This window comes from Homo sapiens, chromosome 16 (genome assembly GCF_000001405.40).
Source record: "Homo sapiens chromosome 16, GRCh38.p14 Primary Assembly".
Taxonomy (NCBI): domain Eukaryota; kingdom Metazoa; phylum Chordata; class Mammalia; order Primates; family Hominidae; genus Homo; species Homo sapiens.
This window is the reverse complement of record NC_000016.10, coordinates 26,583,376-26,595,718: the sequence shown is the minus strand read 5'-3', so window position 1 is coordinate 26,595,718 and position 12,343 is coordinate 26,583,376. Positions and strand designations below refer to the sequence as shown.

General features: G+C 38.3%; 1 long non-coding RNA gene across 2 annotated transcripts; it reads left to right on the top strand.

Annotated features, from left to right (window-relative positions):
- Nucleotides 1-269: 269 nt before the first annotated feature.
- Nucleotides 270-10,960, top strand: LINC02195 (long intergenic non-protein coding RNA 2195). 2 transcript variants are annotated; one of them, XR_950950.3, is made up of 3 exons: nucleotides 270-351; nucleotides 787-982; nucleotides 10,775-10,960. It is a non-coding gene; the product is annotated as a long intergenic non-protein coding RNA 2195 (long non-coding RNA). The 2 variants fall into 2 exon arrangements; XR_950949.4 differs by having other exon boundaries at nucleotides 787-1,009.
- The last annotated feature ends 1,383 nt before the right edge of the window (nucleotides 10,961-12,343 follow it).

The following is a 12,343-nucleotide window of genomic DNA, read 5'->3' as shown; positions in this document are numbered from 1 at the left end:
AACCACACATCTACTAAAAATACAAAAAATCAGCCGGGCGTTGTGGCAGGCGCCTGTAGTCCCAGCTACTCAGGAGGCTGAGGCAGGAGAATGGCGTGAACCCGGGAGGCAGAGCTTGCAGTGAGCAGAGATCATGCCACTACACTCCAGCCTGGGAAACAGAGCAAGACTCTGTCTCAAAAAAAGAAAGTGGGGGGAAATGATGTACACAAATCAGAAGTGAGGTACAGAACAGCTGGATTGGTTACAGGTTGGCGTTTGCCTCATTTGAACACAGCTTCAACACTCATCGGTGTATGAGTGGTTGAAGTATAGCTCCTGGGATTGGCCACGACTCAGCTGTTGTTACAGGTGTGTACTCCTATGTTCGGTTTTCAATTTTGTCTACCTATTAAGTTAGGTTGCAGTTTGTCCACAAGGACTCAAATATAGAAGTACAGAGTCCATATTTAGTTTGTGTTAACAAATCCCAGCACTTTGGGTGGCTGAGGTGGGAGGAATACTTGAGCTCAGGAGTTAGAGACCAGCCTGGGCAACATAGTGAGATCCCATCTCAAGTAAAATTCTCTGGGTCAAATCGTTTCTCCTTAAAAATTTTTTTAACTGGGAAAACTTGGCGAGGGTATATAGGAACCTCCCGAACTATCTTTAAAGCCATTTGATAAATCTAAAATTACTACACAAGAAAGAAATACTTAAAACACAGCTTTCAAAATAAAATATTGAATTGCTTTTGATTTAATCTTAGTTTAGTTGTGGGCATCAGTTTCATTTTTTACCCACAAGGTCCCCAGACTTAGAGATCCAGGAGATGAACTCAAGAGCAGCCCGTTGCCTGCAGTGGCTGACATGAAGCCTTTCTGCGTCATCGGTGTCTTGTCTGATGCTTCCCCAGTGGAATTTCCTGCTGTGTTCCTGGGAAACCCAAGCAACCAGAAGTTCATCCAATTATTTATTTGCTTCGAGTCATCCGGATGTAAAAGTATGCAGCTATCATATACTGGTGAAGGTAGAGAATTATGATGATTGTCATTTATTGAGGACTGTGGTAGGCACGGGGGGTTACATTTTGTGCAAAGTGAGCTAGGGCTGGGGGTTTCTCATTCTGAACTTGCAGATGCACAATATCAGGGGAGGATGCTGAAACTAAGAGAGGTTAAGAAACTTGCCCAATATCACAGATGCAGAAAGAGAAAGAGCTTGAAATGGGCTTGAACACAGTTCTTTCTGAATCTGAAGTATATCTTCCTAACCCCTAAGTCAGACTTTTAACATAGACTGTTAACACTTCAGAGGTTCTTCAGATACCATCTAATACAGAGATCTAATCTCTGTATTAGATGGTATTTGAAGATACTATCCCACCTTCAACTCCCAGATAACTTTAGTTCGGAGCTGCACAATGGGTTTATGGTTGCTTTTTCTTTGATTGTTGCTTCTCTTTCCTTTTTAGATTGAATTTATTGTCAGCATTTGAAAATAGGGAGACTGCACTTTCAAATATCAGACTTTCATGTTGTTCAGAAAGAAATGGGTGCTCTGACTAAAAGGGGGGGCTTCATTCCCACCTGGAGCTGAGTCCTGACTTTCAGTTAGATCAGGTGCACATACTGTTCTCTAGTTCAGACCCCTTCCCTCCCTCACCCCCAGCCCTAGCTCACTTTGCTCCTTTACTTTCTCTACCTGGCCCCTGCAGTTGGCAGCCACTGACTAAGTCCATTTTACTGGAGTGAAAATTGCTGCTTAGAGAGGAGTAGTTACTGGTCAGAAGTCACACAGCAAGCCTAAAGAAACGTCATTCTGGCAGGCACTCATTTATATCGTGAGACAGAGCTATCTGGCTCTCTGACGTCCTGTGTCTCTCTGTCCCTTGCTGTCTCCTCTATGGCTGACCTACTTCAACCTCCTGGTGGGTCACATTCTCTGGGTCAAATCGTTTCTACTTAAGCACCCCAAGAGGGGCTACCCTGCTCGCAGGTTATTTTAACACTTTATATGAAAGCCTTGTTCTTGTCAAATACCTCGAAATGAATAAGGGTTGAACCTTTTCTCTTAGGAGGATGGAAAGCTAGTGGAGACTTTTAAAATTTAACTTCATCTTAGAAGAAAGAGGAGAGAAAGAGAAAAAGAGGGAAAGGGGAGGAAGGAAGAAAGAAAAGAAGGAAGGACAAATCACAAACTGGAGTTTGACATGTCTGTGATATTTATTCCTTTCTTTAGTTAGTTCTCTTTGACTCCCACGGCTGATAACTCTGCTTCATCTTCTTCCAGGAAAGCAGGTAGAGATGTGGTCAGTTCCCACTTCTAGTCTCTAAGCTAGCCATGATTTATGGTGGGACACATAAATGAGACTCCCCAGGAGCCAAGTGCCAAGGCAAAGATTTTGCAGAGAGGATCTCAAAGCATCTATAACCTTAAAAAAAAGATGACTCTTGTCATTTCTTTTTGTGTCATACATAAAGTTGAATAGAGCATGCATTCATAGTTTATGAGCCATTAATAAAATGAACATCTGTGAGTTCACCATCGTTTATAAGAAATATAATTTTAGCTATAGCTTAGTAGCTTTGTGTGTTTCTTTCTAATTCCATCTTGCCCCTTCTCTCTGCAGGATGCTGCTTTCCTGAATTTTGCATTATTTTATTTATTCAGTCATGCAGTCATTCATTTTAATATTTTATGAAAATTATCAAACATGCAGAAAATTAGAAAGGATAGTACTATTGAATATGGTATACCTATAATTGAACAACTGGATTCAACAACTTTTTAATGTTTAGCTTTTATTTGGCCCATATTTTTATTTGCTTAGCCATTGTTTAAGCATTTTATTTTGTAAAATATCAACTATATATTAAAGCAGAGAGACTGGTAAAGTGGATCCATTCCAGCTTCAATATCTTCAATGTGTGGACAATCTCATTTCATTTGTTCTCTCAGTCATTCCATGCCTATTCTTCCCCAGCTCTGGATTCTTTCTGAAGCAAATCCCAGATATTTATCTGTAAATATTTCAGTCTGTCTCTCTGAACGATAAGGACTCTTTTAAAAATACAATCATGACCAGGCGTGGTGACTCACGCCTGTAATTCCAGCACTCTGGGAGGCTGAGGAGGGCAGATCAGGAGGTCAGGAGATCAAGACCATCCTGGCTAACACAGTGAAACCTCATCTCTACTAAAAATACAAAAAATTAGCCAAGCATGGTGGCGGGTGCCTGTAGTTCCAGCTAATTGGAGGCAGGAGAATGGCATGAACCAGGGAGGCGGAGCTTGCAGTAAGCCGAGTTCCAGCCACTGCACTCCAGCCTGGGGGACAGAGCGAGACTCCGTCTTTCTCTCTCTCTCTCTCTCTCTCTCTCTCTCTCTCTCTCTCTCTCTCTCTCTCTCTATATATATATATATATATATATATATATATTTATTTATTTATTTATTTATTTATTTATATAATCATAATGTCACTTTCACATCTGAAATAATGAACACTTTCTGAATATCACCAAATACCTAGTCAGTGTGTAAATTTCTTGATTCCTGCTCTTCCTCTCCCTCTCTCTCTCTCTTTTGTTTTTATAATTGCTGTCTTATAATGGGGATTAAAACAAAAATCTCCACAGTGAATTTGGTTGATAATTGTTTAAGTCCCTGGGTTTTGTCTTCTTGTTTTTCTGTTTGTTATTATTTTGTTTCCCCTAGTGCAATATATTTGTTGAAAAATCTGCATTGTTTCTCCTGTACAATTTCCCCACTTTTGAAATTTTGCAGAGTTAGACTTTTGGTGCTATTTAACATGTTATTCCTTTCCTTTTATCTCCTGTAAACTGGGATTTAGCTATTGAGCCTTCATCAGATCCACATCTGATTTTGGGCCAGAGTATTTTATAAGCAGCGTCCGTGTGGTTCCATTAGGAGGGTCATAATGTCTGGTTGTCTCCTTTTGTGATATTAAGTAGGTTCCGGTGTTGCATCATTTAATCTACCCATTGTAAAGTCCCTGACAGCTTTTAACCTAATAGGTTTTCACAGACAGTCATTCCCCAGGAGTTGGGCTGAATCATTTTAAAGTAAGTTCATATACCAAGCCACTTTATCCTTAAATACTTACAGCACAAATTGCCAAAAAGTAAGGGCATTATCCTTATAACTCAACAGATTTTTCCCATCTAATAATACCTATGCTCTAATATTATTTAACATCCAGTTCACGTTAAAAAAATCTTCCAAGTATCTACATTTGTTCTTGAATAACCTTTTTATTTTAGAATAGTTTTAGAGTTACAGAAATAATTGATAGCATAAGAGGTCTCATATACCACATACCCAGTTTCCCCTATGATGATGATGATGATGATGATGATGATGATGATGATGATTTGAGACAGAGTCTCACTCTGTTGCCCAGGCTGGAGTGCAGTGGCACGATCTCGGCTCACTGCAACCTCCACCTCTCAGGTTCAAGAGATTCTCGTGCCTCAGCCTCTTAAGTAGCTGGGATTACAGGCACACGCCACCACACCCAGCTAATTTTTGTATTTTAGTAGAGACAGGGTTTCACCATGTTGGCCAGGCTGGTCTTGAACTCCTGACCTCAGGTGATCCACCTGCCTCGGCCTCCCAAAGTACTGGGATTACAGGTGTGAGCCATTGCGCCTGGCCTCCCCTATTATTAACATCCTGCATTAGTATGGAACTTTCGTCACAGTTATTGAACCAATATTGATGCATTCATGCATTATTATTGGCTAAAGTCAATTTTTCATTTAGATTTTGTTGGTTTTTACCTAATGTCCTTTTTCTGTCCTGTGGTCTTACCCAGGATCCTACATTACATTTAGTCATCATGTCCCCTTAGACTCCTCTTAGCTGTGACAGTTCCCATTTGGTTTTTATTTTCCTTTTAATCTGGAACAGCATCTCTCCCTCTTATCTTATAACATGAACTACATTTTGGATTTCTCTACATACTTCCTTGTGGGAGTCTTTAACTTGTTCCTCTGTTCTTTGTATTTCTTAGAAACTGAAAATTAAAATTAAAAACTTAAACATTTTTTGCCCAGAATGTTTCATAGGTGACTCTGTGTCTTTTACATACTGTCTCACAGGATTGGAAGATTAGGATGAAAAAGCTGGGAGAATGAGAGACAGGACTGATGAGTAAGAATCAGAAACCCATAGCAGAAGTGGAAATAACAATTCATCTTCCTTAGTTCAGAGGAAGCTCTCCCAAATGCCCTTTACTTCTTGCTTTTCTTTCCTTGGAAATTGCTCAGTAAAATTGACCCAATTCTACACGTTAATTTGCATTGTTGATAAGATGGCATTATTTTGCTTTTTATGTCTTAGACTGTGGCTGGATGAGTTTATTCATAAGTTTGCATTAATTTAGGAAAAAATTTACTTATCAAAAAACTGCACGTATTTAACTCAAGATTTTCTAAATTTCTGGGGCTGGTTGTACACCTCATAAGATGTTTTGATATATCTTTGGAAGGGTCTCTGGCTTAATTTCTGCTTTCCTTTTCTTTATTTAAAAAAGAAAATGGATTACAGAGTTAGTCATATGAAGCTACACACATAAAATTGCATAGAACCTGCCGGGTGCAGTGGCTCACACCTGTAAACCCAGCACTTTGGGAGGCTGAGGTGGGTGGATCACCTGAGGTCAGGAGTTTGAGACCAGACTGACCAGTATGGTGAAGTCCCGTCTCTACTAAAAATACAAAAATTAGCTGGGCTTGGTGGCAGGCGCCTGTAATCACAGCTACTCAGGAGGCTGAGGCAGGAGAATCACTTGAAATGCAGGGGCAGAGGTTGCAGTGAGCCGAGATCACACCATTGTACTCCAGCCTGGTCGACAGAGTAAGACTCCGTCTATGCATAGAGCCACACACACACATATTCACATGTGTGTGTGAGTGCATGTGTTAATGGTAAAATATGCCTAACTCTATGGATTATGCCAATGCTGATTTCCTGATTTTGTTACTGTCCTACAGTTAGGGAAGACGGCAATGTGGGCAAGGCAAGGTCAAGTATGCACAGGGCATCCTTGTACAGTTCTTTGCAATTTCCTGTGATTCTGTAGTCATTCTAAATTTAAAAATTGAGAAAATAAATAAGAACAGTTTATAGTCTGGACATTATGGCCAGTGCAGAAGGACAGATAAAGGATTAAGTTAAATTTTTAGACAGGAAGCAATGCAATAATTATTATTTGCAGATAATATGGCTGTCTACTTAGAAAATTGGGTAAAACAGACTTTGAACTAATATTAAGAGTTCAGTAAGGTACATTATGAAAAATTAATAGATACCATTTACAATAATATCAGCAAAAACAAATTAAAATGTCTAGGAATACACTTAACCAGCATTATACGAGACCTACAATAAGAAATGTACTACATTTATTAAGGGATATAAAAGATGACATGAATAAAGCAAATGAACCTGGAGATGGTGATCTGTATTTAACATTCAAAATTTAAAAGACAGCTAATTATTTTTTTGGTTGTAGTATAAAAGACAGTAGTGGGCAATTGGAAAGGTTTGAATAAGGGCTGTAGATTAGATAAGAGTATTGTGTCAATGTAATTTCTTGATTTTGATCATTGTACTGTGGTTGTATAAGAGCATGTCCTGATTCTCATGAAGTACACACAGATGTGTTTAGAAGTAATGGAGCATCGTATTTGCAACTCAATTCAAACACTTCAGAATAATAGTTTATATATATATATATATATAAACTATTATTTCTTACTACATATATAACTTTAAATTATATTTATATATAACTTTACATATACATAACTTTAAATTATTAGTATATATATAACTATTATTTATTAGTATATATATATCCTCATCTGTATCTATATGCATGTTTAAATTTATATTGTTAGAAAGAATGAGAATGTTGTTTGGGGAATCTGGGTGAAGAATATACAGACATTCCTTTAGTGGGTCTATAACTTTTCTGTAAATTTGGGATTATTTCACAGCAAAAATTTCAAAAATGTGGCCAACAGAAGAATAAGAAGGAATATATAACTATGAAATATAGGAAGCACCGGAGGGGAAGAAGATGATGTATCGTAAATGATATAAGCAGTACCATTTAGTATCGAGGAGAGGATAACTATTTTCTAATAAATAGAAGTGCTGTATATCATCCCATTGTATGGAAGTAATCATCAGAAGAAATAAAATCTTGATGATTTAAGAGGCATCCATGGGTCATTGAACTTGGGATGCAGAAGAGTGGGGTGGGAGATGTTAGCTTTTTTGTCGTTGACTCTTCTCATCTGTCTTCTCATTCATGCATCGTGTCGATAAAAATGACAATGTTGGTTAACAAATAAATCATTCAATGACTAGCCCTGGTGTAAGTAATTAAGAAATAAAAAGGTAATACATTTGCAAAAGATTTGGACGTAGGAGAAATTTATGCACACTTGGTGGAAGGGGGATCCAGCATTTCTGGAGGATAAAATGGCAGCACATCAACGACACATATAATTCTTCTCCTCCTCTCATCCAGCAAATCTCTCAGAACATATCCCCAGGTGAGAAATTCACAGATGGTGACAAAAAAGATACGCACATAGACTTCTCTTGCAGCTCTGTATAAGCACAACAACAACCATAAAAAATCTTAATGCTCAATACCAGGGTGAGATAAAATTACAGTACCTCCTTTCAAAGTAGCCTCAAAATTTGAGTTTTAGTGGACTACTCAATGACAAGAGAAATCATTAAAATTAGTTGCTGTATTTAAACTTGTTACAAAATAGCATTTATAGTATGATGTTTACATTGCTAAAAAATTATGCATTTTCAATATACCAAAAAGCTGGACTAGAATACAACAAAATATAAATGATGGTTGTCTTTCAATTGGTGAATTATGGGTGATATATGTGTTTGGTGAATTATGGGTGATATGTGTGTCTGTCTGTCTGTCTGTCTGTGTCTGTATGTTTTATAGTAACACACTGTTACTTTTTGGCCATCAGGAAAATAATTCTTCAGGTAAGAAAGTTCTAGTGCTAGGAATACAGGTGTCAGAAGTAGGATGGTGTATTTGTCTCTCAGAAAAATGCATCAAGGATTCATAAATTACTTTAAAAATCTTCTCAGCTGTCCCCCGTGTAACCAAATAAGATCAGGTGAACAGCAGAACCCGTGGTGTCCACAGAAGCCATGCTTCTGAGATGAGAGGGAAGTGGATTTGTTTGCCATCTACCCAAACTGTCTGACAAAACCAGGAGGTTGCCTGATTCCTACTGCCCCCTCTGTCACAAGATTTCAAATTGACCCTGCCTCCAGCATAACACCAGTATTCTCATTTGGAGCCTTGAATCTGAGAGTTCCTTGCCCAGGGCCAACTTGGTGCTTTTCTCCTCTTCTCTGCCTCTCATTCTTTCATTACATAATTGATGCCTTCAATACATGCTTCAGTTTGCACCTACTCTGTTCCAGGAGCTGTACATATGTATATTTTAAAGAAATACATGTTTCAAAATTTTAAAAATACAAAAGAATATACAAGTGAAGAAAGAATAAGCCTTCCTTTCATTCTTATCTTCTGGTCCTAGTTAATTACTTTCCCATTAAATACAATACCTTTTTGCCCTTTCTAAAATAATAAACACTTTCAAAGCAAATGAAACAGGTAAACAAGATTAAAAGGAGGTGTTTAATGATAGGTGCAGATATATCCTGTTGAATAAAATGGACATGGGGTTTCCTTCATGGAACTTACAGTCTTGGGGAAGAGACAAGCAATCCATAACTTTAAATATGTGTATAATTTCAAATGGTCAAAAGTGTGACAGTGGAAAGGAATCGGATGCAGTGGTAGAAAATATTACTATGGATGGGGGGGTGTTGCATCTTGTGTTTTCCAGACACACTGGTCTCACTATTGTTACTGTATACCTCAGGCAAGTGGCAACCCCAGGGCCTTTGCCCCTGCTGTTCCCTCTGCCAGAATGCTCTCACTCAGCTATCTGCATAATTTGCTCCCTCATTATATTTATGTATGTGTTCAAAACTCACCTTCTTGGAGATATTTTCATTGACTACACCATCCAAAATATCCCCCTTTACACACACACACATCACTCCCTATGTTCACACCCTGCTTTATTTTTCTTCATAGCATTTAGTGCTTTATGTAATATGTACCTGTGGATATATGTGTGTATATATTAATACGTGTGTGTATATATATGTGTATGTGTCTATAGATATATGTATACAGACACACAAATATATTCTTGTAAATTAAACACACGTTTGCTAAGAAGCTATTGCATACTAGGCACTATAATAGGCGTTGACTCTATGGAGATGGCTGAGCAAAATTCCTGCCCTCAAAACTTCCTTTCCAGCAATAAATGACTTACGGCATAATTTCAGGTAATGATCAGCTACAAGAAGGAAAATTAAAATAAAGATATTGTGAGGGATGGAAAGGGGAGATCAGGGGAGGTTCTCTGAGGAGGCCACATTTGAGCAGAGACCTGGGTGCAGCAAGGCCAGGAGCCAGGAAGACATCTAGGGAATTAGGTGTCCACGTAGAAGGAATTGGGAGCATCAGTGCATGTGGGAGAAGGCGTGGTGTGTGTGAGGAAGAGCAGGCCAGTGTGTCTGGGCATGGGAAGCAAGGGGAAGAGGGGCAAGAGAGGAAAGGGATTTGTGGAGCCGTGGTGACGACTTTGGAATTTATTCTGAATGAGACTTAAAAAATGAGGAGAGTTAAAAAATATTTTAAAGTCATCTTTATTGAGGCATAATTTGCATACAATAAAATGCTCCCCTTTTAAGCATATAGTTTAATGAGTTTGGTAAATGACCACACCTCCATAACTACCACTCAAGATATAGAATATTTCCATCACTCCAGAATGTCCCCCTGAACCATTTTGCAGTCAATCCCATTCCACCTAGGCAACCACAGATCTGCTTTCTGTCCCCATAGATTAGTTTGCATTTTCTAGATATTCCGATAAATGATACAGTGTATATCCTGTTGGTACTGGCTTCTTTTAAACTCAACATAATGTTTTTGACATACATCATGTTGTGTATATCAGTTTGAGTTCTTTTTTATTCTAAGGAGTATTTTATGCCATAGATATTTCAAAAATTGTTGTTCCATGTATTTGTTGATAGGTATTTGAGATTTGGGCTTTTATGAATATTGCTGCTAAGAACCTTCACTATAGGTCTTTTTATGAACATATGTTTTCATTTATTTTGGGTAAATATCTAGGAGTGGAATTGCTGTGCAATATGGTAAGTGTAGGTTTAATTAATAAGTAATTGCCAAACTGTTTTCCAAAGTGCTGATACCATTGAACACCCACAATATATAAGCATAAGAGACTAGTGAGCTGGGTACTAACTTGGGAGAAAAACATGGTCAAATTCACATTTTTAACTTATCACTGTGTGAAGAATTGATTCTATGGGACCTAGGATGGAAATTACAAAGCATGTGTAGAATTTGCTTGTGTTCCCCATAGCTGCAGCCTCAGCAATAGACTCCATTTAAACTTTTCACCTGCTATTTGCTCTCACAGGATTTGCTCCTCAACAGGATCCATGAATTTCTGTGTTCATCCTCGTACATTTTCTTTCTGGGCACACAGCTAGATTCCACTTTTCAGCCTTTCTTACAGTTAGCTAGGTCCCTGAGACTAAAATATGTTCCAGAGAAAGTGGGCAGAAATGATGCATACTGTGTTTTGACCTCCCTATAGACTCCTTCCATGTAAACATCCACATACTCTGGGGAAACCTGCTGCCAAAGTAGGAGGATTCCAAAGGACCTAGAGGAAGAAAAAGCTACAATATGGAAGACACCTGAGTTTCTGAAGGACTGTGTGGAGCACTTCCTTCTGCTGATGAACATGTGCTATGAAAAATAAACTTATTTTGTTTAGCAACTAAGATTTCTGAATTACTTGTTACAGCAGTTAGTATATCCTGATTAACAGACCTCATCTTTTATTCCTTTGGGCTTGAATTTGATGGCTTACCTGTGCTTTTCTTTGGCTTGACCAAGTAGTATAGCAGCTGGCTTTCTGCTTGGTCATTCTTTGCTCAGCATTGATAAAATAGAGCATAATGAAGACAGAACATTAAACACCTCCTTTTAATCTTGTTTACCTGTTCAATTTGCTTTGAAAGTGTTTATTATTTTAGAAAGGGCAAAAAGGTATTGTATTTAATGGGAAGGTAATTAACTAGGACTGGAAGATAAGAATTAAAGGAAGACTTATTCTTTCTTCACTTGCATATCTTTTTGTATTTTTAAATTTGGAAACATGTATCTCATTAAAATATACATACATATATATATATATATATATATATATATATATATATATATACACACACACACACACACACACACAAATATTAGTGCTAGCCCACTATGGTTTCAGCTTTTTCTGAGGCAAAGCCCCCTACTATTTATGATTGCATCTTAAGCTTTCACCATATGGTCTGGCGTGAAGCAGGCGGCATTGTGCAGTGGTTGTGACTTAAGTATCCTGGACTGCTGCAAGAACTGTCAACATGAACTTCTAGACCCCAATCTCCTTCTCTTTCCAGCAGAGAAGCAAATGAGAAGTAGGCAATATGAGTCACTGACTGATGGACTTTTTTCTTGTTGGGATAATATGGTAATGCATGTATTCACACCCTTTCTGTTCCCGGTAATTATTTGCCTGTCATTGTTTTTAAACTTAGACTGTGAGGCATCAGTAGCCTCAGGGAAGGGTTTCAGAGCAGAAAAAGCAGAGAAAAATGCTTTTAGATCAAAAACCAGAAGCCTGGAGCTTTTGGAAGACTAAAAGATCCATAAAATCTCTTTTTCTCCGAGAGTAATAGAAGTTTCCAGGATTGGGGATAGGTGACAAACAGAAAAGACTGGGATGAGGGCTACTCCAGTTGGCAGAATAATGATCCCCCAAAGATGTCCATCTTTGAATCCCTGCAACCTGTAAATAGGTTACTGTACATGGAAATGGGACTTTGTAAATGTGATTAAGTCAAAGATGTTGAGATGGGGAGATTAGCCTGGATTATCTGAGTGGGCCCCATGTAATCACCAGGATCTTTATTATAAGAGGAAGACAGAGGGGTCAGAGGCTGTTGATAGAAGCAGAGGTCAAAATGATGCCACTGCTGGCTTTTAAATGGAGGAAGGGGCCATGAGCCAAGGAAACAGGTTGCCTCTAGAAGCTAGAAAAGGCAAGGAAACAGATTTTCCCCAAAAATTGTCAGAAGGAATGCAATCCTGTCAACAGCTTGATTTAGCCCAC